This window comes from Homo sapiens, chromosome 10 (genome assembly GCF_000001405.40).
Source record: "Homo sapiens chromosome 10, GRCh38.p14 Primary Assembly".
In the NCBI taxonomy this organism is placed as follows: domain Eukaryota; kingdom Metazoa; phylum Chordata; class Mammalia; order Primates; family Hominidae; genus Homo; species Homo sapiens.
This window is the reverse complement of record NC_000010.11, coordinates 38,838,919-38,866,501: the sequence shown is the minus strand read 5'-3', so window position 1 is coordinate 38,866,501 and position 27,583 is coordinate 38,838,919. Positions and strand designations below refer to the sequence as shown.

The 27,583-nt window shown below is 38.4% G+C and overlaps 9 annotated features.

The window, feature by feature from the left end:
• Window positions 8,948-9,832: an enhancer, noted in NCBI's record as "OCT4-NANOG hESC enhancer chr10:39149801-39150685 (GRCh37/hg19 assembly coordinates)". NCBI's record gives its function as "activates a minimal SCP1, AML or CMV promoter by ChIP-STARR-seq in primed H9 embryonic stem cells {active_cell/tissue: H9 hESC(primed)}" and the evidence as "EXISTENCE:reporter gene assay evidence [ECO:0000049][PMID:30033119]".
• Window positions 9,999-10,722: an enhancer, noted in NCBI's record as "OCT4-NANOG hESC enhancer chr10:39148911-39149634 (GRCh37/hg19 assembly coordinates)". NCBI's record gives its function as "activates a minimal SCP1, AML or CMV promoter by ChIP-STARR-seq in primed H9 embryonic stem cells {active_cell/tissue: H9 hESC(primed)}" and the evidence as "EXISTENCE:reporter gene assay evidence [ECO:0000049][PMID:30033119]".
• Window positions 13,727-14,723: an enhancer, noted in NCBI's record as "OCT4-NANOG hESC enhancer chr10:39144910-39145906 (GRCh37/hg19 assembly coordinates)". NCBI's record gives its function as "activates a minimal SCP1, AML or CMV promoter by ChIP-STARR-seq in naive H9 embryonic stem cells {active_cell/tissue: H9 hESC(naive)}" and the evidence as "EXISTENCE:reporter gene assay evidence [ECO:0000049][PMID:30033119]".
• Window positions 18,425-19,272: an enhancer, noted in NCBI's record as "OCT4-NANOG-H3K27ac hESC enhancer chr10:39140361-39141208 (GRCh37/hg19 assembly coordinates)". NCBI's record gives its function as "activates a minimal SCP1, AML or CMV promoter by ChIP-STARR-seq in primed H9 embryonic stem cells {active_cell/tissue: H9 hESC(primed)}" and the evidence as "EXISTENCE:reporter gene assay evidence [ECO:0000049][PMID:30033119]".
• Window positions 19,273-20,120: an enhancer, noted in NCBI's record as "OCT4-NANOG-H3K27ac hESC enhancer chr10:39139513-39140360 (GRCh37/hg19 assembly coordinates)". NCBI's record gives its function as "activates a minimal SCP1, AML or CMV promoter by ChIP-STARR-seq in primed H9 embryonic stem cells {active_cell/tissue: H9 hESC(primed)}" and the evidence as "EXISTENCE:reporter gene assay evidence [ECO:0000049][PMID:30033119]".
• Window positions 20,121-20,968: an enhancer, noted in NCBI's record as "OCT4-NANOG-H3K27ac hESC enhancer chr10:39138665-39139512 (GRCh37/hg19 assembly coordinates)". NCBI's record gives its function as "activates a minimal SCP1, AML or CMV promoter by ChIP-STARR-seq in primed H9 embryonic stem cells {active_cell/tissue: H9 hESC(primed)}" and the evidence as "EXISTENCE:reporter gene assay evidence [ECO:0000049][PMID:30033119]".
• Window positions 20,969-21,816: an enhancer, noted in NCBI's record as "OCT4-NANOG-H3K27ac-H3K4me1 hESC enhancer chr10:39137817-39138664 (GRCh37/hg19 assembly coordinates)". NCBI's record gives its function as "activates a minimal SCP1, AML or CMV promoter by ChIP-STARR-seq in primed H9 embryonic stem cells {active_cell/tissue: H9 hESC(primed)}" and the evidence as "EXISTENCE:reporter gene assay evidence [ECO:0000049][PMID:30033119]".
• Window positions 21,817-22,664: an enhancer, noted in NCBI's record as "OCT4-NANOG-H3K27ac-H3K4me1 hESC enhancer chr10:39136969-39137816 (GRCh37/hg19 assembly coordinates)". NCBI's record gives its function as "activates a minimal SCP1, AML or CMV promoter by ChIP-STARR-seq in primed H9 embryonic stem cells {active_cell/tissue: H9 hESC(primed)}" and the evidence as "EXISTENCE:reporter gene assay evidence [ECO:0000049][PMID:30033119]".
• Window positions 22,665-23,512: an enhancer, noted in NCBI's record as "OCT4-NANOG-H3K27ac-H3K4me1 hESC enhancer chr10:39136121-39136968 (GRCh37/hg19 assembly coordinates)". NCBI's record gives its function as "activates a minimal SCP1, AML or CMV promoter by ChIP-STARR-seq in naive and primed H9 embryonic stem cells {active_cell/tissue: H9 hESC(naive and primed)}" and the evidence as "EXISTENCE:reporter gene assay evidence [ECO:0000049][PMID:30033119]".

Below are 27,583 nucleotides of genomic sequence, written 5' to 3'. Positions count from 1 at the left end.
GAGTCCATTCCATTCCATTCCATTCCTTTCCTTCCCATTCCATGTCATTCCATTGGCTCCTGTTCTATTCGAGTCCATTCCATTCCATTCCTTTCCATCCACTTCCATTCATTCCATTCTATTCCTTTCCATTCTATTTGATTCCATTCCGTTCGTTTCCATTCCATTTGAGTCCATTCCACTCCAGTTCATTCCATTCGAGTCCATTCCATTCCAGTCCATTCCATTCGAATCCAGTCCATTCCATTCCATTCAATATCTTTCCATGACACTCCATTGCATTCTATTCCTTTTGATTCCATTCAATTCCATTTCATTCATTTCCTTTCCATTTGATTCCATACCATTCGAGTCCATTCCATTCCATTTGGTTCCATTCCCTTCCATTCGATGCCATTACATTTAATTCTATTCCTTTCAATTCCATTCAATTCGAGGCCATTCCATTCGATGCCAATCCTTTCGATTCTATTCCATTCGACTCCATTCTTTTCCATTCATTTCCATGCGACACCATTCCATGCTATTCCTTTTCTTTCCATTCCATTCGTTTCTGTTCCATTCCAGTCGTTGCCACTCCAGTCTATTCCATTTGAGTCGACTCCATTCCAGTCCATTCCATTCGAGTCCATTCCATTCCTTCCCTTCCATTTGATATCTGTCCACAACACACCATTCCATTCTATTCCTATCGATTCCATTCAATTCCATTCCATTCGGTTCCAATCCATTCGACTCCATTCCATTCAAGTCCTTGCTCTTCCATTCCATTCCATTCCATTCCTTTCGGTTCAATTCCAATCCATTCTAATCCATTTTTTCCAGTCCATTACATTCGAGTCCATTCCATTTCAGTCCATTCCATTTGATTCTATTCCATTCGATTTCATTTCATTCGATTCCATTCCATTCAATTCCACTTCGTTCCATTCCATTGCATTCCATTGTATTCCATTCCATTGCATTCCATTCTGTTCCATTTGATTACATTTCATTCAATTCCATTACATTCAAATCAATTACATTGCAATCCATTACTTTTGAGTCTGTTCTATTCCAGTCCATTCCATTATGTTCCGTTCCATTCGATTCAATTCCATTCAATTCCATTCCATACCACTGCATTCCATTCGATTCCATTCTGTGCAAATAATTTCCATTCGAGACCATTCCTTTCAAGTACATTCTATTTGAGTCCATTCTATTTGAGTCCATTACATTTGTGTCCATTCCATTCCAATCCATTCCATTCAATTCGATGCCATTCCTTTCTATTCTATTCCATTCTAGTCCATTCCATTCCATTCCAGTCGTTTCCATTCCATTCTAGTCCATTCCATTCCATTCCATTCCATTCCATTCCATTACATGCGATTCCATTCCATTCTATTCTATTCCATTTGACTGCATTCCATTCCATTCTGATCCATCTGATTCCATTCCATTCTATTTCTTTCCATTCCATTCCATTCCTTTCCATTCCATTTGACTGCATTCCATTCCATTCTGATCCATCTGATTCCATTCCATTCTATTCTTTCCATTCCAGTCCTTTTCATTCCATTCCATTCTTTTCCATGCCATTCGAGTCCATTCCATTCCAGTCCATTCCATTCGAGTTCATTCCATTAAATTCCATTCCATTCGATGCCATTCAATTCGATTCTATTCCATTTGCATCCATTCCATTCGTGTCCATTCCATTCCATTCCATTCGATGCCATTCCATTCGATTCTATTCCATTTGTCTTCGTTCCATTCCATTCTGTTCCATCCGATTCCTTTCCACTGTATTCCTTTCCATTCCATTCCATTTCATTCCATGCAATTGATTTCCAATCAATTCGAGTCCATTCCACTCCAGTCCTTTCCCTTCGAGTCCATTCCATTTCACTTCGTTCCACTCGTGTCCATTCCATTCCAATCCATTCGAAATCTTTCCATCACACTCCCTTCCGTTCTATTCATTTCATTTCCATTCAATTCCTTTCTATTCAATTCCATTCCATTTGATTCCATTCCATTCAACTCCATTAGTTTCGAGTCCATCACATTCCTTTCCATTCCATTCCATTCCATTCCATTCCATTCCAATGCTTTCGATTCCATTTTGTTCAAATCCATTCCATTCAAGTACATTCCATTCCAGTCCATTCCATTCAATTCCATTCTTTTCGATTCCATTCCACTCAATTCCACTCTGTTCCATTTCAATGCATTCCATTCCATTCCATTCCATTGCATTCCATTATATTCCATTCCATTTCATTCCATTATATTCCATTCCATTGCATTCCATTCAATTCCATTTGATTACATTCCATTCGATTCCTTTCCGTTCGATTCTATTATATTGCAGTCCATTACATTTGAGTCTGTTCTATTCCAGTCCATTCCATTCCAGTCCTTTCCATTCACTTCCATTCCATTCGATTCCGTTCCATACTATTGCATTTCATTCTATTCCAGTCTATTCAAATAAATTCCATTCGAGACCATTCCCTTTGAGTCCATTCTATTTGAGTCCATTCCATTCGAGTCCATTACATTTGGGTCCATTCCATTCCATTCTATTCCATTCCATTCCATTGCATTCCATTCCATTCAATATTATTCTGTTGGATTATATTACATTTGACTCCATTCCATTCCTTTCAGTTCCAAACCAATTCCTTTCCATTCAATTCCATTCCATTCTATTCCATTGCATTCATTTCGTTTCCATTCATTTCGAGACCATTCCATTCCAGTCCATTCCATTCAATTACATTCCATTCCAGTCCATTAACTTCGAGTCCATTACATTCCATTCCATTGCATATCTTTCCATCACACTCCAATCCATTTTATTCATTTCGATTCCATTCAAGTCCATTCAATTCGATTCATTCTGTTCGGTTTCATTCCGTTTGACTCCATTCCAATCGAGTCCATTCCATTCCATTCCATTCTGTTCTGTTCGATTCCAATCCTTTCAATTCCATTTTGTTCCAGTCCAATCCATTCGAGTCCATTCCATTTCAGTCCATTCCATTCAATTTCATTCCATTCGATTCAATTCCACTCGATTCCACTCCGTTCCATTCCATTGCATTGCATTCTGTTCCATTCCATTGCATACACTTACTTTCCATTTGATTTCATTCCATTCGATTCCATACCATTCAAATCCGTTGCGTTGCATTGCATTCCATTACATTCGAGTCCGTTCTATTCCGGTCTATTCCTTTCCGGTCCATTACATTCAATTACATTCCATACTATTGCATTCCATTCAATTCCATTCTATTCGAATAAATTCCATTCAAGACCATTCCTTTCTTGTCCATTCTATTTGTGTTTATTCCATTCGAGTCCATTACATTTGGGTCCATTCCATTCCATTCCATTCCGTTCCATTCAGTGCCATTCCATTTGATTCTACTCCATTCGAGTCCATTCCATTCCATTCCATTCCATTCCATTTGATGCCATTCCATTCGATTCTATTCCATTCGACTCCATTCCATTCCATTCATCCAATTCCATTCCATTCTATTCCTTTCCATTCCATTCGAGCCCATTCCACTTCAGTCCATTCGATTTGAGTCCATTCCATTAAAGTCCATTCCATTCGACTCCATTCCATTCAATTCCATTCCATTCCATTCGATATCTTTCCATTACACTCCATTCCGTTCTTTTCCTTTTGATTCCATTGAATTCCATTCCATTAGGTTCCATTCCATTCCAGTCCATTTCATTCAAGTCCGTTCCATTCCATTCAATATCACTCCATTTCACTCCATTCCATTCTATTCCATTTGATTCCGTTCAATTCCATTCTATTTAATTCCATTCCATTCGGTTCCATTCCATTCGACTCCATTCCATTAGAGTGCAATCTATCCCATTCTTTTCCGTTCCATTTGATTGCAATCCATTCGATTCCATTTTTTTCCAGTCAATTCCATTTGACTCAATTCCATTAGATTACATTCCATTCGATTCCATTTTTCTCCATTCCATTCCACTCAATTCCACTCCGTTCCATTACACTGCATTTCTTTCTATTCCATTCCATTGCATTCCATCAATTCCATTTGAAAAATTTCCATCGATTCCATTCCATTCGAATCAATTACAATGCAATCCATTACATTCTACTCCATTCTATTCCAATCTATTCCATTCTGTTCCATTCCATTCGAATCCATTCCATTTGATTCCATTCCATACTATTGATTTCCATTCAATTCCATTCTTTTCGAATAAATTCCATTCGAGATCATTCCTTTTGAATCCATTCTATTTGAGTTGATTCCATTCGAATCCATTACATTTGGGTCCATTCCATTCCATTCCATTCCATTCCATTGCATTCCATTCCATTCGATGCCTTTCCACTCCATTCAATTCCATTCCAGTCCATTCCATTCGAGTCCATTGCATTCCATTCCAGTCCATATGATGACATTCCAATTGATTCCATTCCATTCGACTCCTTTCCATTCCATTCTATTCCATTCCATTCCATTCCTTTCCTTTCCATTCCATTCCTTTCCATTCCATTCGAGTCCATTCCACTGCAGTCCATTCCATTCTTGTCCATTCCATTCCGTTCCATTTGATATCTCTCCATTATACTCCATTCCTTTCAATTCCATTCTACTCCATTCCATTCCATTTGACTCCATTCCCATCGAGTCCATTCCGTTGAATTCCAATCTTTTCTATTCCATTTTGTTCCTGTCTATTCCATTCGAGTCCATTCCATTCGAGTCCATTCCATTCGATTCCTTGCCATTCGATTCCATTCCACTCGATTCCACTCCCTTCCATTCCATTGCATTCCATTCTATTCCATTCCATTGCATTCCATTCTATTCCATTCCATTGCATTATATTCCATTCCTTTCAATTACATTCTATCTGATTCCATTCCATTCGAATTAGTTTTATTGCAATCCATTACATTCGAGTCCGTACTATTCCAGTCCATTGCATTCCATTCCATTCCTTTCGATTCCATTCCATCAGATACCATTCCATAAAATTGCATTCCATTCGATCCCTTTCTATTCGATTATATTCCTTTCGAAACCATTTCTTTCGAGTTCATTCTATTTGAGTCCATTCCATTCGAGTCCGTTACATTTGGGTCCATTACATTCCATTCCTTTTGATGACATTCCATTTGATTCGATTCCATTCGAGTCCATTCCATTCGAGTCCATTCCTTTCCATTCCATTCCATTCCATTCCTTTCCATTTGATGCCATTCCTTTCGTTTCTATTCCATTTGACTCCATTCCATTCTATTCCATTGCATCCTATTCCATTCCATTCTATTCCTTACTATTCCATTCCATTCCATACCATTCCGTTTGTTTCCATTACATTCTAGTGCATTCCACTCTAGTACATTCCATTCGATACCATTCCATTCCAGACAATTCCATGCGAGTCCATTCCATTCCATTCCATAAGATATCTTTCATTACACTGCATTCCATTCTATTCCCTTCAATTCCATTGAATTCCATTCTATTCGATTTGATTCCGTTCTATTCCACTCCATTCGACTCCATTCCATTCGTGTCCATTCGTGTCCATTCCATTCCATTCCATTCCATTGCGTTCAATTTGATTCGAAGCCGTTCCATTCCAATTTATTCCAGTCCATTCCATTCGAGTCCATTCCATTCCAGTCCGTTCCATTCGATTCCATTGCATTCAATTAAATTGCATTCGATTCCATTCTGCTCGATTCCATTACTTTCCATTCCATTCCATTCTATTCCATTCCATTGCATTCCTTTCCATTCCATTTGATTATATTCCATTCGAATCAATTACTTTGAAATCCATTACGTTCGAGTCCATTCCATTCCAGTCCATTCCATTCTGTTCCATTCGGTTCGATTGCATTCCATTCGATTCCATTCCTTACTATTGCATTGCATTCGATTCCATTCTATTCGAATAAATTCCATTTGAGACCATTCTTTCGAGTCCATTCTATTTGAGTCCATTCCATTGCAGTCCATTACATTTCGGTCTATTCCATTCCATTAAATTCGATTCCATTCCATTCGATGACATTCCATTCTATTCTATTCTACTCGAGTCCACTCCATTCGTGTCCTTTCCATTCCATTCCATTCCATTCCATTCCTCTAAATTCCATTCAATGTCATTCCATTAGATTCTATTCCCTTCGAGTCCATTTCATTCCATTCTGTTCCATCCGATTCCATTCCATTCTATTCCTTTCCATTCCATTCCATTTGTTTCCATTCCATTCGGGTACATTCCACTCCAGTCCGTTCCATTCGATTCCATTCCATTCCAGTCCGTTCCGTTCGATTCCACTAAATTCCATTCCATTCCATTCGATACCTTTCCATTACACTCCATTCCATGCTGTTCCTTTCAATTGCATTCAATTCCATTCCATTCAGTTCCATTCCATTCGACTCCATTTCACTCGAGTTCATTCCATTCCATTCCATTCCGTTCCGTTCCATTCCAATGCATTCGATTACATTTTGTTCCAGTCCTATCCATTCGAGTCCATTCCATTCCACTCCTTTCCAATCGATTCCATTCCATTCGATTCCATTCCACTCGATTCCACTACGTTCCATTACATTGCATTCCACTTTATTGCTTTCCATTGCATTCCATTCCATTTCATTTGTTTACATTCCTTTTGATTCCATTCCATTCCAATCAATTCCATTGCCATCCATTACATTCTTGTCCATTCTATTCCAGTCCATTCCATTCCGGTCCATTTCATTCGATTCCATTCCATTCGGCTCTATTCCATACTACTGCATTCCATTCGATTCCATTCTATTCGAATACATTCCATTTGAGACAATTCCTTTCGAGACCATTCTATTTGATTGCATTCCTTTCGAGTCCATTACATTTGGTTCCATGCCATTCCATTCCATTCCAATCCATTCCATTCAATTCCATTCCTTTCGATGTCATTCCATTGTATTCTATTCCATTCGAGTCCATACCATTCGAGTCCATTCCATTCCATTCCATTCAATCCCATTCTATTCAATTCTATTCCTTTCGACTCCTTTCCATTCCATTCTGACCCATGTGATTCCATTCCATTCTATTCCTTTCCATTCCATTCCATTCCACTCCATTCCACTCCATTCGTGTCCATTCCACTCCAGTCCATTCTATTCGAGTAAATTTCAATGAAGTACATTCCATTCGAGTCCATTCCATTCCATTAAATTCCATTTGATATCTTTCCATTACACTCCCTTCATTTCCATTCCGTTCGATGACATTCCATTCTATTCTATTCCATTCAAGTCCATTCCATTTGAATCCATTCCATTCCATCCCCTTCCATCTGATTCCATTCCCTTCTATTCCTTTCCCTTCCATTCCATTCCATTCCATTCCAGTACATTCGTTTCCATTACATTTGAGACCATTCCTCTCCAGTCCATTTCATCTGAGTCCATTCCATTCGGGTCCATTGCATTCCATTCCATTCGATATCTTTCCTTTACACTCCATTCCATTTTATTCCTTTTGATTCCATTCTATTCCATTCCATTCCATTCCATTCCATTCCATTCCGTTCAACTCTATTCCATTCGAGTCCATTCCATTTCATTCCCTTCCATTCCACTCGATTCCAATCCATTCGATTCCATTTTTTTCCAGTACATTCCATTGCAGTCCATTCCATTCGAGGACATTCCATTCCATTCCATTTGGTCCTGCTCGATTCCAATCCATTCGATTCCATTTTCTACCAGTCCATTCCATTCCAGTCCATTACATTCGATTCCATTCCATTTGATTCCTTTCCATTCTATTCCATTCCACTCGATTTCACTCTGTTCCATTCCATTGCATTCCATTCTGTTCCATTCCATTGCTTTCCCTTCTATTCCACTTGATCACATTCCATTCGATTCCTTTCCATTTGAATCAATTACATTGCAATCCATTACATTCGAGTCCATTCTATTCCAGTACATTGAATTCCAGTCTATTGCATTCGATTCCATTACATTCGATTCCATTCCACACTATTGCAATCCTTTCGATTCCATTCTTTTTGAATAAATTCCATTCGAGACCATTACCCTCGAGTCCATTCTATTTGAGTCCATTCCTTTCGGGTCCATTACTTTTGGGTCCATTCCGCTCCATTCCATTCTATTCCATTCCATTCCATGCCATTCCATTCCATTTTTTTCCATTTGAGTCCATTCCATTCGAGTTCTTTCCATTCCATTCCATTCCATTCTGTTCCATTCAATGCCATTCCATTCGATTCTATTCCTTTTGACTCCATTCCATTCCATTCCATTCCATCCAACTCCATTCCATTCTATGCTATTTCATTCCATTCCAATGCATTCAATTCCATTCCATTACATTCGTTTCCATTCCATTAGAGTCCTTCCACTCCATTCCATTCCATTCCATTCCATTCCATTCCATTCCATTCCATTACATTACATTACATTCCGTTCTGTTTGATTCCAATCCATTTGATTCCATTTTATTCAAGTCCATTACATTTGAGTCCATTCCATTCCAGTCCATTCCATTCGAATCCATTCCATTTGATTCCATTGCATTAGATTCCATTCCACTCGATTCTACTCCGTCACATTCCATTGAATTCCGTTCTATTCCATTCCATTGCATTCCTTTCCAATCCATTTGATTACATTACATTTGATTGCATTCCATTCGAATCAATTACATTGCAATCCATTACATTCGAGTCCTTTCTATTCCAGTCCATTCCATTCCGTTCCATTCCATTCAACTGCACTCCATTCCATTCGATTCCCTTCTATTGCATTCCATTCGATTCCATTCGATTCGAATGAATTCCTTTCGAGACATTCCTTTTGAGTTCATTATATTTGAGTCCATTCCATTCAACTCCATTACATTTGTTTACATTCCATTACATTCCAGTTCATTCCATTCCATTCCATTTGATGCCATTCCATTCGATTCTATTCCATTCAACTCCATTCCATTGCATTCCATTCAATCCGATTGCATTCCATTCTATTCCTTTCCATTCCATTCCATTCCATTCCATTCCTTTACATTCCATTCCTTTACATTCCATTCGAGTCCATTCGACTCCAGTCCATTCCATTCGAGTACATTCTATTACAGTACATTCCATTCATGTCCATTCCATTCCATTCCATTCCATTTCTTTCCATTCCCTTCCATTCCATTATATTCCTTTCAATTTCATTCAATTCCATTATATTCCATTCCATTCCATTCCATTCCATTCCATTCCATTCGACTCCATTACATTGGAGTCCATTCCATTTCATTCCATTCCATTCCATTCCGTTCCGTTCGATTCCAATCTGTTCGATTCCATTTTTTTTGTGCAAACCATTCGAGTCCATTACATTCCAGTCCATTCCAATCGATTCCATTCCATTCGATTCCATTCCATTCGATTCCATTACATTCGATTTCACTCCGTTCCATTCCATTGCATTCCATTCTATTCCATTCCATTGCCTTCCTTTCCGTTACATTTGATTCCATTCCATTCCATTCCATTCCATGCTATTCCTTTCCATTCCATTCTGTTCCACTCCATTCCATGCCATTCCATTCGTTTCCATTCCATTTGAGTCCATTCCACTCCAGTTCATTCCATTCCACAACATTCCATTCCAGTCCATTTAATTCGATTCCATTTCATTTGATTCCATTCCACTCGATTGCACTTCGTTCCATTCCATTGCATTCCATTCTATTCGATCGCATTGCATTCCATTCCATTCCATTTGATTACATTCCATTCGATTCCATTTCATTTGAATCAATTACATTTCAATCCATTACATTTGAGTCCGATCTATACCAGTCCATTCCATTCCGGTGCATTCCATTTGATTCCATTCCCGTCGTTTCCATTCTATATTATTGCATTCCATTCGATTCCATTCTTTTTGTATAAATTCCATTCGAGGCCATTTATTTTCAGTCCATTCTATTTGAGTCCTTTCCTTTAGAGTCCATTACACTTGGGTCCATTCAATTCCATTCCATTCTATGCCACTCCATTCAATTCTATTCCCTTCGAGTCCATTCAATTCCACTTGTTGCCATTGCATTCGATTGTAATCCATTCGACTCCATCCATTCCATTCCGTTCCAGCCGATTCCATTCCATTCTATTCTTTTCAATTCCACTCCATTTGATTCCATTCCATTCCATTCCATTCCATTCCATTCCATTCCATTTGATTCCATTCATTTCCATTCCATTCGAGGCCATTCCATTCCAGTCCATTACTCTCGAGTCCATTCCATTCCATTCCATTCCATTCCAATCGATATGTTTCCATTACACTCCATCCCATTCCATTCCATTCCATTCCACTCCATTCCATTCGTTTCCATTCCATTCGAGGCCACTCCATTCCAGTCCATTCCTTTCGTGTCCATTCCATTCCATTCCATTTGATGTGTTTCCATTACACTCCATTCCATTCTATTAATTTCGTTTCCATTCAATTCCATTGCATCCGACTCCATTCCATTCTATTCCTTTTCATTCCATTCCACCACATTCTACTCCATTCCACTCCATTTTTTCCATTCCATTTGAGTCTATTCCACTCCAGTCCATTCCATTCGAGTCCATTCAATTCCAGTACATTCCATTCAAGTCCATTCCATTCTATTTCTTTTCATTACACAGCATTCCATTCTATTCTTTCGAATCCATTCAATTCCATTCTATTCCATTCCATTCCATTCCATTCCATTCTGTTCCGTTAGATTCCAATCTGTTTGACTCCATTATTTTCCAGTATAATCCATTCGAATCCATTACATTCGCGTACATTCCAATTGATTACATTCCATTTGATTCCATTCTATTCGATTCCATTACACTCGATTCTGCTCCTTTCCATTCCATTGCATTCCATTCTATTCCATTCCATTGCATTCCCTTCCATTCCGTTTGATTACATTCCTTTCAATTCTATTCCATTCTATTTGATTCCATAGTATTGCATTGCATTCGAATCCATTCTATTCGAATAAATTTCATTCAAGACCAATCCTTTTCGAGTGCATTCTATTTGAGTCCATTCCATTTGAGTACATAACATTTCAGTCCACTCCATTCCATTCCACTCCATTCCTTTCCATTCCATTCCATTCCATTCCATTCCATTCCGTTCCTTTCAATGCCATTCCATTCTATTCTATTCCATTCCCATCCATTCCATTTGAGCGCACCCCCTTCCATTACATTCATTTACATTCCATTTGATGCCATTCCATTCGACTCTCTTCCATTGAAATCCATTCCATTCCATTCCGTTAAATCCAATTTCAATCCATTCTATTCCTTTCCATTCCATTCCATTCGTTTCCCTTCCATTCCCGTCTATTCCACTCCAGTGCATATCATTGCAGTCCTTTCCATTCCAGTCCTTTCCGTTCAAGTCCATTCCATTCAAATCCATTCCATTTGAATCCATTCCTTTCCATTCCCTTCCATTCGATATCTTTCCATTCCATTCCATTCTATTCTATGCCTTTCAATTCTATTCAATTCGATTCCATTCGATTCCATTCCTTTCAACTCCGTTCCCTTCGAGTCCCTTCCATTCCATTCCATTCGATATCTCTCCATTACACTCCATAGCATCCTTTTCTTTCAATTCCATTCAACTCCATTCCATTTGTTTCCATTCCTTTCAGTTCCATTCCATTCGACTCCATGCCATTCGATTCCATTCCATTCCATTCCCTTCTGATCCATTTGAATCCAATCCGTTCGATTCCATTTTATTCTAGTCCATTCTATTCCAGTTTGTTCCATTTCAGTCCATTCCATTTGATTCTGTTCCACTCAATTCCATTCCATTCCACTCGATTCCACTCCCTTCCATTTTATTGCATTCCATTCTTCACCCTTCCATTTCATACCATTCCATTCCATTTGATTATATTACATTTGAATCAGTTCCATTCAAATCAGTTACATTGCAATCCCTTACAGTCAAGTCTGTTCTATTCCAGTCCATTCCATTCCGGTCCATTCCATTTGAATCCATTCCTTTCGATTCCATTCTATTCGAATAAATTCCATTTGAGACCATTCCTTCCGAGTCCATTCTATTTGAGTCCACTCCATTCTAGTCCATTATATTTGGGTCCAATCCATTCCATTCCCTTCCATTCCATTCCATTCCATTCCATTCCATTCCATTCTGTTCCATTCCATTCGATACCATTCCATTCTGTTCTATTCCATTCGAGTCCACTCCATTTCATTGAATTCCATTCTTTTGATGCCATTCCATTCAATTCTATTCCATTCGTCTCAATTCCATTCCATTCCATTTCATCCAATTCTGTTCCATTCTATTCCTTTCAATTCCATTCCCTTCCATTCCATTCTTTTCCATTCCCTTTGAGTCCATTCCAGTCCAGTCCATTACATTCGAGTACATTCCATTCAAGTCCATTCCATTCGAGTCCATTCCATTCCATTCCATTCCATTCCATTCCATTCCATTCCATTCCATTCGGTATCTTTCCATTACTCTCCATTCCATTCTATTCTATTTGATTCAATTCAATTCCATTCCATTTGATTCCTTTCCATTTGGTTCCATTCCATTCTACTCCATTCCATTGTATTCCCTTCCTTTCCATTCCATTCCATTCCATTCAATTCCAGCCCTTTCCATTCCATTTTGTTCCAGTCATTTCCATTCGAGTCCATTCCATTAAATTCCATTCCATTTGATGCCATTCCATTTGATTCTATTCCCTTCCTCTCCATTCCATTCCATTCCATTACATCCTATTGAATTCCATTCCTTTCAATTCCATTCCCTTGTATTCCTTTCATTTCCATTCCATTCGTGTCCATTCCACTACAATCCATTAAATTCGTGCCCGGTATATTCCAGTCCATTCCATTCGAGTCCGTTCCATTCCATTCCATTCGATATATTTCCAATACATTCCACTCCATTCTATTCTTTTCAATTCCATTCAATTCCACTCCATTCAATTCCATTCCATTCAGTTCCATTCCATTCAATTCCATTTCATTGGAGTCAATTCCATTCCATTCGATTCCAGTCCTTTTGTTTCCATTTTGTTCCTGTCCATTCCATTTAATTCCATTCTATTCCATTCCATTCCATTCCATTCCACTCAATTCCACTCTGTTCCATTCCATTGCATTCCATTGTATTCCATTCCATTGCATTCCATTCTGTTCCATTTAATTACTTTCCATTTGAGTCCATTCCATTCGAATCAATTACGTTTCAATTCATTACATTCATATATTTCCTATTCCATTCCATTCCATTCCATTCCGTACTACTGCATTCCATTCGATTCCATTCTTTTCGAATAAATTCCATTAAAGACCATTCCTTTTGAGTCCATTCCATTTGAATCAATTACGTTTCAATTCATTACATTCGTATATTTCCTATTCCATTCCATTCCATTCCAGTCCATTCCATTCGATTCCATTCCATTCAATTCCATTCCAATCCATACCATTCAATGACATTCCATTCCATTCAATTCCATTTGAGTCCATTCAATTCGAGTCCATTTCATTCCATTTCATTTGATTACATTACTGTTGACTCCATTCCATTCCATTCCTTTCCATCCAATTCCATTCTATTCTATTCCATTCCAATCCATTCCATTGCATTCCATTCCAGTCGTTTCCCTTCCATTCCAGTCCATTCCACTGCAGTCCTTTCCATTCGAGTCAATTCCATTCAAGTCCATAACATTCGAGTCCATTCCATTCCATTCGGTATCTTTACATTACACTCCATTCCATTCTATTCCTTTCAAAGCCGTTCAATTTCGTTGTGTTCGATTCCATTCCAATCAATCCCATTCCATTCGACTACGTTCCAATCGAGTCCATTCCATTCCATTCCATTCCATTTCGTTCCGTTCCATTCTAATCTTTTAGATTCCACTTTGTTGCAGTCCATTCCATTCGAGTCCATTCCATTAGAGTCCATTCCATTCAATTCCATTCCATTCAATTCCATTCCATTCGATTCCATTCCATTTAATTTGATGTCATTAAACTTGATTCTTTTCCATTAGACTCCATTTCATTTAATTCCATTCCATCAGATTCCATTCCAATGTATTCCTTTCAATTCCATTCCTTTCCATTCCATTCCATTCCATTTCATTCTATTCGTTTGCACTGCCTTCGATTCCATTCCACTCCTGTCCTTTCCATTCGAATACATTCCATTAGGGTCCATTCCATTAGACTCCATTCCTTTCCATTCAATTCCATCCATTTACATTCTGTTCTATTCCTTTCCCTTCCGTTCCTTTCCATTCGTTTCCATTCCATTCGAGTCCTTTCCATTCTAGTACATTCCATTCGAGTCCATTCCATTCCAGTCCATTGCATTCGAGTCCATTCCATTCCATTCTATATATTTCCATAAAACTCTGTACCATTCCATTCCATTCGATTCCATTCAATTCCATTCCATTTGATTCTATTACATTGGATTCCATTCCATTCGATTCCATTGCATTCCATTCAATGACTTTCCAGTCGATTCTATTCCATTCAACTCCATTCCATTCCCTTGCATTCCATCCAATTCCATTCCATTCTATTCCTTTCCATTCCATTCGTTTCCATTCCATTGGGGTACATTCCATTCCATGACATTTCATTCGCGTCCATTCCATTACAGTCCATTCCTTTCGACTCCATTCCATTCCATTCTATATCTTTCCATATCACTCCATAACATTCCATTCCATTCGATTCCGTTCACTTCCATTCCATTCGATTCTATTACATTCGATTCCATTCCATTCGATTCCATTCCATTCCATTCAATAACTTTCCATTAGATTCTATTCCATTCGACTCCATTCCTTTCCCTTCCATTTCATCCAATTCCATTCCATTCTATTCCTTTCCATTCCATTCCATTCCATTCCATTCTTTTCCATTCCATTGGGGTACATTGCATTCCACTACATTTCATTCGTGTCCACTCCATTCCTGTCCATTCCATTCGAGTCCATTCCATTCCAATCCTTTCCATTCGATATCTTTCCATTAGACTCCATTCCATTCTATTCCTTTGCATTCAATTCAAATCCATTCCATTCGATTCCATTCCATTCGAGTCCATTCCATTCCATTCAGTGCCTGTCTATTCCAATCCGGATGATTCCGTTTTGTTCCAGTCCATTCCATTCGAGTCCATCCCATTACACTCCTTTCCATTCAAATCCATTTCATTCGATTCATTTCCATTTGATTTCTTTCTCTCAACTCCACTCCGTTCCTGTCCATTGCATCCCATTCTATTCCATTCCATTCCATTCCATTCCATTCCATACAATTCCATTCCATTCCGTTACATTCCATTCCATTCCATGCCATTCCATTCGATTTTGTTTCATTCGGGTCCATTCCATTCGAGTCCATTCCATTCCATTCCATTCGATTCTATTCCATTCGACTCCATTCCATTCCTTTCCATTCCTTTCCATCCGATTCCATTCCATTCTATTCCATTCCATTCCATTCCACTTGTTTCCATTTCATTCGAGTCATTTCCATTCCATTCCAGTCCATTCCATTCGATGCAATTCCATTCGATTCTGTTCCATTCGACTCCATTCCATTTCATTCCATTCCATCCTATTCCATTCCAGTCTATTCCTTTCCATTCCATTCCATTCCATTCCATTCGTTTGCATTCCATTCGTGTTCATTCCACTGCATTCCAGTCCATTTCATTTATATCAATTCTACTCCATTCCATTACATTCAATACCTTTCCATTACACTCCATTGTATTATATTACTTTCGATTCCATTCAATTCCATTGCATTCAATTCCAATAATTTCGATTCCATTCCATTTGACTCTATTCCATTCCATTCGATTACATTCGGTTCTTTTCAATTCCAATCCGTTTGTTTCCATTTTGTTCCAGTCCATTCCATTCGAGTCCATACCATTCCAGTCCATTCCATTAGATACCATTCCATTGGATTCCATTCCTTTCGATTCCATTCCACTCTATTCCACTGCGTTCCTTTCCATTTCATTCCATTCTATTGTATTCCATTGCATTCCATTCCATTCCATTTGATTACATCCCATTCAATTCCATTCCATTCCAATCAATTACATTGCAATCCATTACATTCGAGTCCGTTCTATTCCAGGCCTTTCCATTCCGGTCCATTCCATTCTATTCCATTCCACTCGATTCCATTCCATACTATTGCATTCCATTCGATTCCATTCTATTTGAATAAAATCCATTCGAGACCATTCCTTTCGAGTCCATTCTATTTGAGTTGATTCCTTTCGAGTCTATTATATTTGGGTCGATTCCATTCCATTCTATTCCTTTCGATGCCATTACATTTGATTCTCTACCGTTCTACTCCATTCCATTCGAGTCCATTCCACTTCATTCCATTCCATTCCTTTTGATGCCATTCCTTTCGATTCTATTCCATTCAACTCCATTCCTTTCCATTCTGTTCCATCCGATTTCATTCCATTTTATTCCATTTCATTTCATTCCATTCCATTCGTTTCCATTCCTTTAGTTTCCATTGCTCTCCAGTCCATTACATTCGAGTCCATTACATTCCAGTCCATTCCATTTGAGTCCTTTCCATTCCATTTCATTTGAAATATTTCCATTACACTCCACTCCATTCTATTCCCTTCGATTCCATTCAATTCCTTTCCATTCGATCCCATTCCATTCTGTTCCATTCCATTCGACTCCATTCCATTCGAGTCCATTCCATTCCATTACATAACATTCCGTTCTGCTCGATTCCAATCCGTTCGATTCCATTTAGTTCCAGTAGATTCCATTCGAGTCCATTCCATTCCAGTCCATTCCAATCTATTGCATTCTATTCGATTCCTTTCAATTCGATTCCATTACATTCCAGTCTATTCCTTTCCAGTCCATTCCAATCGATTGCCTTCCATTCAATTCCCTTCCATTCTATTCCATTCCACGCGATTCCACTCTGTTCCATTGAATTGCTTTCCATTCTCTTCCATTGTTTTGCATTCCATTCCATTCCATTTGCTTACATTCCATTCGATTCCATTGCATTCGAATCAATTACATTGCAGTCCATTATATTTGAGTCCGTTCTATTCCAGTCCATTCCATTCGACTCCATTCCATTCAATTCTATTCCTTTCCATACTATTGCCTTCCATTCGATTCAACTCTATTCAAATAAATTCCATTCGAGACCATTACTTTCGAGTCCATATTATTTGAGTCTATTCCATTTGTGTCCATTACATTTTGGTCTATTCTATTCCATTCGATCCCATTCCATTTGATTCTATTCCATTCGAGCCAATTCCATTCGAGTCCATTTAATTCCATTCTGTTCCATTCCATTCCGTTCGATGTCATTCCATTTTATCCTATTCTATTCGACTCCTTTCCATTCCATTCTTTTCCATCCGATTCCATTGCATTCTATTCCTTTCCATTCATTCCCTTCCATTCAATTTGTTTCCATTTGTTTCCATTCCATTCGAGTCCATTCCACTCCTGTCCATTCCATTCGATTCCATTACCTTCCAGTCCATTCCATTCGACTCCATTCCATTCCATTCGATATCTCTCCATGACACTCCATTGCTTTCTATTCCTTTCGATTCCATTTCATTCATTTCCTTTCCATTCGATTCCATACCATTCGAGTCCATTCCATTCCATTCGGTTCCATTCCATTCTATTCCATTCTATGTCATTCCATTTAATTCTATTCTATTCGATTCCATTTCATTCGAGGCCATTCCATTCCATTGCATTCCATGCCCTTTCCTTCATTTCTATTCCATTCGACTCCATTCCATTCCATTCAGTTCCATCCGATACCATTCCATTCTATTCCTTTCAATTCCATTCCAATCGTTTCCATTCCATTCGAGTCCTTGCCACTCCAGGCCATTCCATTCAAATCCACTCCATTCCAGTCCATTCCATTCGAGTCCTTTCCATTCCTTCCATTCCATTCAATATCTTTCCACGACACACCATTCCATTCTATTCCTTTCGATTCCTTTCAATTCCATTCCATTCGGTTCCATTCCATTCGACTCCATTCCATTCAAGTCCATTCTCTTCCATTCCATTCAATTCCGTTCCTTTCAATTCCAATCCGTTCGATTCCATTTTGTTTCAGTCCATTACACTCGAGTCCATTCCATTCCATTCCATTCTTTTTGAGTCCATTCTATTCGATTTCATTTCATTTGATTCCATTCCATTAAATTCCACTTCGTTCCATTCCATTGCATTCCATTCTATTGCGTTCCATTGCATTCCTTTCCATTCCATTGGATTTCATTCCATTCGATTCCATTCCGTTCATATCAATTACATTGCAATACTTTACTTTCGAGTCCATTCTATTCCAGTCCATTCCATTCCAGTCCATTCCATTCAATTCCATTCCATTTGATTCCCTTCCATACTATTGCATTCCATTCGATTCCATTCTGTTCAAATAAATTCCATTCTAGACCATTCCTTTTGATTCCATTCTATTTGAGTCCATTCCATTCGAGTCAATTACACTTGTGTCCATTCCATTCCAATCCATTCCATTCCATTCAATGCCATTCCTTTCTATTCTATTCCATTCTAGTCCATTCCATTCCAGTCCATTCCTTTCCATTCGTTTCCATTAAATTAGAGTCCATTCCATTCCATTCCATTCCATTCCACGTGATGCCATTCCATTCGATTCTATTCCATTTGACTCCATTCCATTCCATTCCGTTCCATCCGATTCTGTTCCATTCTATTACTTTCCATTCCATTAAATTCCATTCCATTCCATTCGATTCTTTTGCATGCCATTCTAGTCCATTCCATTCCAGGCCTCTCGTTTCGAGTCCATTCCATTACATTCCATTGCATTCGATGACATTCCACTTGATTCTATTCCATTCGAGTCCATTCCATTCGAGTCCATTCCATTCCATTCCATTCGATGCCATTCCGTTCGATTCTATTCCATTGTCTCCATTCCATTCTGTTCCATTCTATCCGATTCCCTTCCACTCTATTCCTTTCCGTTCCATTCCATTCCATTCGTTTCCAATCCATTCTAGTTCATTCCACTCCCACCCACTTCCTTCGAGTTCATTCCATTCCACTTCTTCCATTTGTGTCCATTCCATTCCAATCCATTTGAAATATTTCCATCACACTCCATTCCGTTCTATTCCTTTCATTTCCATTCAATTCCATTCTATTCGATTCCATTCCATTCGATTCCATTCCATTCGACTCCATTTGTTTTGATTCCATTCCTTTCCTTTCCATTCCATTCCTTTCCTTTCCATTCCATTCCATTCCCTTCCATTCCGTTCTGTTCGATTCCAATCATTTCAATTCCATTTTGTTCAATTCCATTCCATTCAATTGCATTCCTCTCCAGTCCATTCCATTCGATTCCATTCCATTCGATTCCATTCCACTTGATTCCACTCTGTTCCATTCCATTGCATTCCATTCTATTCCTTTCCATTGAATTCCATTATATTCTATTCCATTGCTTTCCATTCAATTCCATTTGATTACATTCCATTCGATTCCATTCCATTCGATTCTATTGTATTGCAATCCATTACATTCAAGTCCATTCTATTCCATTCGATTCCATTGTGGTCCCTTCCATTCGATACCGTTCCATTCGATTCCATTCCATACTACTGTATTCCATTCAATTCCATTCTTTTCTAATAAATTCCATTCGAGACCATTCCTTTTGATTCCATTCTATTTGAGTCCATTCCATTGGAGTCCATTACATTTGGGTCCACTCCATTCTATTCCATTCCATTCCATTCGATGCCATTCCATTCTATTCTATTCTATTCGTGTCCATTCCATTCGAGTCCGTTCCATTCCATGCAATTCCATTACATATCATTCCATCGGATTATATTTCATTCAACTCCATTCCTTTCCATTCCGTTCCATCCAATTCCATTCCATTCCATTCCATTGCATTCCATTCCTTTCCATTCCATTCCATTCCTTTCCATTCCATTCCATTCCGTTCAAGACCATTCCACTCCAGTCCATTCCGTTCATGTGTATTACATTCCAGTCCATTCCATTAGAGTCCATAGCATTCCATTCCATTCCATATCTTTCCATCAAACTCCAATCCATTCTAATCATTTTGATTCCTTTCAATTGCATTCCATTCCATTCGGTTAAATTCCATTTGACTCCACTCCAATCGAGTCTATTCCACTCCATTCCATTCCGTTCCATTCCGTTCATTTCCAATCCATTCTATTCCATTTTGTTCCATTCCAATGCATTCGAGTCCATTCCATTTGATTCCATTCTTTCAAATCCATTCCATTCGATTTAATTCCACTCCGTTACATTCCATTGCATTGCATTCTATTCCATGCCATTGCAAACCATTCCATTCCATTTGATTTCATTGCGTTTGATTCCACTAAATTCAAATCAATTGCATTGCATTCCGTTACATTTGAGCCCGTTCTGTTCCAGTCTATTCCATTCCGGTCCATTTCATTTAATTACATTCAATACTGTTGCGTTCCATTCAATTCCATTCTATTCGAATAAATTCCATTCGAGACCATTCCTTTTGAGTCCATTCTATTTGAGTCTATTCCATTCGAGTCCATTACATTTGGTTACATTCCATTCCATTCCATTCCATTCGGTGCCATTCCATTTGATTCTATACCTTTCGACTCCATTCCATTCGATTCCATTCAATTCCATTCGATTCCATTCCATTCCATTTGATGCCATTCCATTCGATTTTATTCCATTCGATTCCATTCCTTTCCATACCATTCCATCCAATTCCATTCCATTCTATTCCTTTCCATTCCTTTCCTTTCCATTCGTTTCCATTGCATTCGAGTCCATTCCACTCCATTCCCTTCCATTCGAGTCCATTCCATTAAAGTGCATTCCATTCGGTTCTATTCCATTCGATTCCATTCCATTAGATTCCATTCCATACCATGGCATTCCATTCGACTCCATTCTTTTCGAATATATTCCAATCGAGACCATTTCTTTCGAGTCCATTATATTTGAGTCAATTCCATTCGAGTCCATTACATTTGGGTCCCTTCCATTTGATGACATTCCAATCGATGCTATTCCATTCGAGTCCATTCCATTCGAGTCCCTTCCATTCCATTCCATTCCATTCCATTGCGTTATATTCCATTTCGTTTGATGTCATTCCATACGAATCTATTCCATTCAACTCCATTCCATTGCCTTTCCTTTCCATCCAATTCCATTCCATTCCATTCCATACGTTTCCATTCCATTCGTGTCCATTCCACTCCAGTCCATTCCATTCGAGTCCATTCCATCCCAGTCCATTGAATTCGAGCCCATTCCATTCCATTCGATATCATTCCATTACAATCCATTCCATTCTATTCCTTTTCATTCCATTCCATTCCATACAACTCCGTTTGTTTCCATTCCATTCTAGTCCATTCCACACCTGTCCATTCCATTCGAGTCCTTTCCATTCCAGACAATTCCATGCTATTCCATTCCATTCCATTCCTTTAGATATCTTTCCATTACACTCCATTCAATTCTATTCCCTTCGATTCCATTCAATTCCATTCTATTCGTTTCCATTCTGTTCTATTCCACTCCATTCTACTCCATTCTAATCGAGTCCATTCAATTCCATTCGATTCCATTCCACTCCATTCTACTCTGTTTCGTTCAATTGCATTCCATTCTATTCCATTCCATTTCATTCCATTGTATTACATTTGATTACATTCCATTTGCTTCCTTTCCATTCAAGTCAATTACTTTGAAATCCACTACATTCGAGTCTATTCTATTAAAGTCCATTCCATTCTGTTCCATTCCATTCGATTGCATTCCATTCGGTTACATTCCATACTATTGCACTGCATTCGATTCCATTCTATTCGAATAAATTCCGTTCGACATCATTCCTTTCGTGTCCATTCTATTTGAGTCCATTCCATTTGAGTCCATTACATTTGGGTCCACTCCATTCCATTCCATTCCATTCCATTCGATGCCATTTCATTCTATTCTATTCCACTCGAGTCCATTCCATTCGAATCCACTCCATTCCATTAAATTCCTTTCGATGCCATTAAATTCGACTCTATTCCATTCGAGTCCATTTCATTCCATTCCATTCCATCCGATTCCATGCCATTGTATTCATTTTCATTCCATTCCATTCCATTCCATTCATTTCCATTCCATTCCATTCCATTCCATTCCATTCCATTCCATTCATTTCCATTTCATTCGAGTCCATTCCACTCCACTCCGTTCCATTCAATTCCATTCCATTCCAGTCCATTCCCTTCGACTCCATTAAATTCCTTTGCATTCCATTCGACAACTTTCCATTACACTTCATTCCTTACTATTCCTTTCTATTCCTTTCAATTAAATTCCATTTGGTTCCATTCCTTTTGACTCCATTCCACTAGAGTTCTTTCCATTCCATTCCTTCATTCCATTCCATTCCATTCCATTCCAATGCGTTCGTTTCCATTTTGTTCCAGTCCTATCCATTTGAGTCCATTCCATAACAGTCCATTCCATTCCAGTCCATTCCAATTGATTCCATTCCAATCGATTCCATTCCACTCGATTCCACTCCATTCCATTCCATTGCATTCCATTTTATTCCATTCCATTGCATTCCATTCCATTACGTTTGATTACATTCCATTCGATTCCATTCCATTCCAATCAATTACATTGCAATCCATTACATTCAAGTCCGTTCTATTCCAGTCCAATCCATTCCGATCCATTTCTTTCGATTCCATTCTATTAGATTCCATTCCATACTATTGCATTCCATTCGATTCCATTCTATTCGAATAAATTCCATTCGAGACCATTCCATTCAAGTGCATTCTATTTGAGTCCATTCCTTTCGAGTCCATTACATTTGAGTCCCTTCCATTCCATTCCATTCTATTCCATTATATTCGATGCTGTTCCATTGTATTCTATTCCATTCGAGTCCATTCCTTTCGAGTCCATTCCATTGCATTCAATGAAATTCCATTCGATTCTATTCCATTCGACTCCATTACATTCCATTCCGTTCCATCTGATTCCATTCCATTCTATTCCTTTTCATTCCATTCCATTCCATTCCATTTGTTTCCATTCCATTCAAGTGCATTTCACTCCAGTCCATTCCATTCGAGTAAATTCCAATACAGTCCATTTCATTCAAGTCCATTCCATTCCATTCCATTCGAATCCATTCCACTCCAGTCAATTCCATTCCATTAAATTCCAATCCAGTCCATTCCATTGGAGTCCATTGCATTCCATGAAATTCCTTTCGCTATCTTTCCATTACACTCCCCTCCATTCCATTCCATTCGAAGCCATTCCATTCTATTCTATTCAATTTGAGTCCATTCCATTTGAGTCCATTCCATTCCATCTGATTCCATTCCATTCTATTCTTTTCCATTCCAGTGTATTCCATTCATATCCATTCCATTCAAATCCACTCCAGTACATTCCATTCCATTCGAGTCCATTCCTTTCCAGTCCATTCCATTCGAGTCCATTCCTTTCCATTTCATTTCATTCCATATTGTTCCATTACATTCAATTCCATTCTATTCCTTTCTATTCCATTCAATTCCATTCCATTCGATTCCATTGCATTCGATTCCATTACACTCCATTCCGTTCCATTCAATTCAAGTCGGTTCATTTCCATTTTGTTCCAATACATTCCATTCGATTCCATTCCATTCGATTCCATTCCATTCGATTCCATTACACTCGATTCCACTACGTTCCTTTCCTTTTCATTGCCTTCTATTCCATTCCATTGCATTCCATTCCATCCCATACGATGATATTCCATTCGATTCCATTCCATTTGAATCAATTACATTGCAATCCATTACATTCGAGTCCGTTCTATTCCAGTCCTTTCCATTGCATTCCATTCCGTTCAGTTCCATTCCATTCGATTCGATTCCATACTATTGAATTCCTTTCAATTCCATTCTGTTCGAATAAATTACATTCAAGACCATTCATTTTGAATCCATTCTATTTGAGTCCATTCCATTCCATTCCATTCCTTCCGATGCCATTCCATTTGATTCTATTCTATTCGACACCATTTCATTCGATTCCATCCCATCCGATTCCATTCCATTCTCTTCATTTTCATTCCATTCCATTCGTTTCCATTCCATTCATTTCCATTCCACTCCAGTCCATTACATTCGATTTCATTCCTTTCCAGTCCATTCCTTTCGACTCCATTAATTTCCTTTGCATTCCATTCAATAACTTTCCATTACACTTCATTCCCTTCTATTCCTTTCAATTCCTTTCAATTACATTCCATTCGGTTCCATTCCTTTTGACTCCATGCCACCCGAGTTCATTCCATTCCATTCTGTTCCATTCCTTTCCAGTGTGTTTAATTCCATTTTGTTCCAGTCCTATCCATTCGGGTCCATTCCATATCGGTCCACTCCATTCCAGTACATTCCAATCGATTCCATTCCACTCGATTCCATTTCACTCGATTCTACTCCATTCCATTCCATTGCATTACATTTTATTCCATTCCATTGTATTCCATTCTGTTACTTTTGATTACATTCCTTTCGATTCCATTCCATTCCAGTCAATTATATTGCAATCCATTACATTTGAGTCTGTTCTGTTCCAGTCCATTCCATTACGATCCACTTCATTCGATTCCATTCTATTCGACTCCATTCCATACTATTGCATTCCATTCGATTCCATTCTATTCGAATAAATTCCATTTGAGACCATTCCATTCGAGTGTATTCTATTTGAGTCCATTCCTTTCGAGTCCATTACTTTTGGTTGCATTCCATTCTTATCCTTTCTATTCCATTATATTCGATGCCATTCCATTGTATTCTATTCCATTTGAGTCCATTCCATTTGAGTCCATTCCTTTCTAGTCCATTCCATTCAATTCCAGTACACTTGATTCCACTCCGTTCCTTTCCTTTGCATTGCATTCTATTCCATTCCATTGCATTCCCTTCCATCCAATACAATGATATTCCATTCGATTCCATTCCATTTGAATCAATTACATTGCAATCCATTACATTTGTGTCGGTTCTATTCCAGTCCTTTCCATTCCGTTCCATTCCGTTCAATTCCATTCCATTCGATTCCATTTCATACTATTGCATTCCTTTCGATTCCATTCTATTCGAATAAATTACATTTGAGACCATTCATTTTGAGTCCATTCTATTTGAGTCCATTCCATTCCATTCCATTCCTTTCGATGCCATTCCATTCGATTGTATTCCATTCGACAGCATTTCATTCCTTTCCGTTCCATCCGATTGCATTCCCTTCTATTCCTTTCCATTCCATTCCATTCCATTCCTTTGCATTCCATTCGTCTCCAGTCCATTCGAGTCCATTCCACTCCAGTCCATTCCAATCGAGTCCATTTCATTCCATTCCATTCCATTCCATTCGAGTCCCTTCCATTGCATTCCTTTCGATGTCTTTGCATTACACTCCATTCCATTCCATTCCATTCTCTTCCGTTCGTTCCCAGTCCGTATCATTCCATTTTCTTCCAGACCATTCCATTGGATTCCATTCCATTCGATTCCATTCCATGCCCTTTGATTCCATTCCACTTGATTCCACTCCGTTCCTTTCCATTGCATTCCACTGTATTCCATTCCAATGCATTCCATTCCTTTCCATTCCATTCCATTGCATTCCATTCCATTCCATTTGATAACATTCCATTGGATTCCAATCCATTCGTAACAACTACATTGTAATCCATTATATTCGTGTCCGTTCTATTCGAGTCCATTCCATTCCAGTCTACTCCATTCGATTCCATTGCATTCGATTCCATTCCATACTATTGCATTCCATTCAATTCCATTCTAATCGAATAAATTCCATTCGAGTCCCTTCCATTCGATTCCATTTTATTTGAGTCCATTCCATTCGTGTCCATTACATTTGGGTCCATTCCATTCCATTGCATTCCATTAAATTCCATTCCATTCCATTCGATGCCATTCCATTTGATTCTATTCCATTCTAGTCCATTCCTTTCGAGTCCATTCCAGTTCATTCCTTTCCATTCCATTCGATGCCATTCCATTGAATTCTCTTCCATTCGTTTCCATTCCATTCCATTCCATCCGATTCCATTCCATTGTATTCCTTTCCATTCCATTCCTTTTCATTCCATTCGTTTCCATGCCATTCGTGTCCATTCCACTCTAGTCCATGACATAAGCGTCAGTTCAATTCCAGTACATTCCGTTTGATCCATTCCTTTCCATTCCATTCGATTTCTTTCCTTTACACTCAATTCCATTCTTTTTTTGATTCCTTTCAATTCCATTCTATTTCATTCCATTTAATTCGATTCCATACCTTTCAACTCCATACCATTCGATACCATTCCACTCCATTCCATTCCGTTTCATTCCATTCCATTCTTTTCCATTCGATTCCAATCTGTTCGATTGCATTTTGTTCCAGTCCAATCCATTTGAGTCCGTTACATTCCAGTCCATTCCAATCGATTCCATTCCATTTGATTCCATTCCACTCGATTCTGCTCTTTCCATTCCATTGCATTCCATTCAATTCCATTCCATTGCATTCCATTCCAATCAGTTTGATTACCTTACATTCGATTCCATTCCATTTGAATCAATTACATTGCAGTCCATTTCATTCGAGACCATTCTATTCCAGTCCATTCCATTCGACTCTATTCCATTGAATTCCATTCCATAATATTGGATTCCATTTGATTCCATTGCATAATGTTGCATTCCATTCTATTACATTCTATTCGAATAAATTCCATTTGAGAGCATTCCTTTTGAGTTCATTCTCTTTGAGTCCATTCCATTTGAGTCCATTACATTTGGCTCCATTCTATCCCATTCCATTCCATTCGTTTCCATTACATTCGAGTCCATTCCACACCAGTCCATTCCATTTGAGTAAATTCCAATCCAGTCCATTCCATTCGAGTCCATTCCACTCCAGTCCATTCCATTTGAGTAAACTCCAATCCCGTCCATTCCATTTGAATCCATTCCATTCCATTAAATCCCGTTTGATATCTTTCCATTACACTCCCTTCCATTCCATTCCATTTGATGCCATTACATTGTATTCAATTCCATTAGTGTCCATTCCATTCGAGTCCATTCCATTCCATTCCATTCCATTCCATTCCATTCCATCATATTCCATTCCATTCTATTCCTTTCCTTTTCATTCCATTCCATTCGTTTCCATTCCATTCGAGACCCTTCCTCTCCAGTCCATTCCATTCGAGTCCATTCCATTCCAGTCCATTCCATTCAAGTACATTCCTTTTCATTCCATTCGATATCTTTCCTTTAAA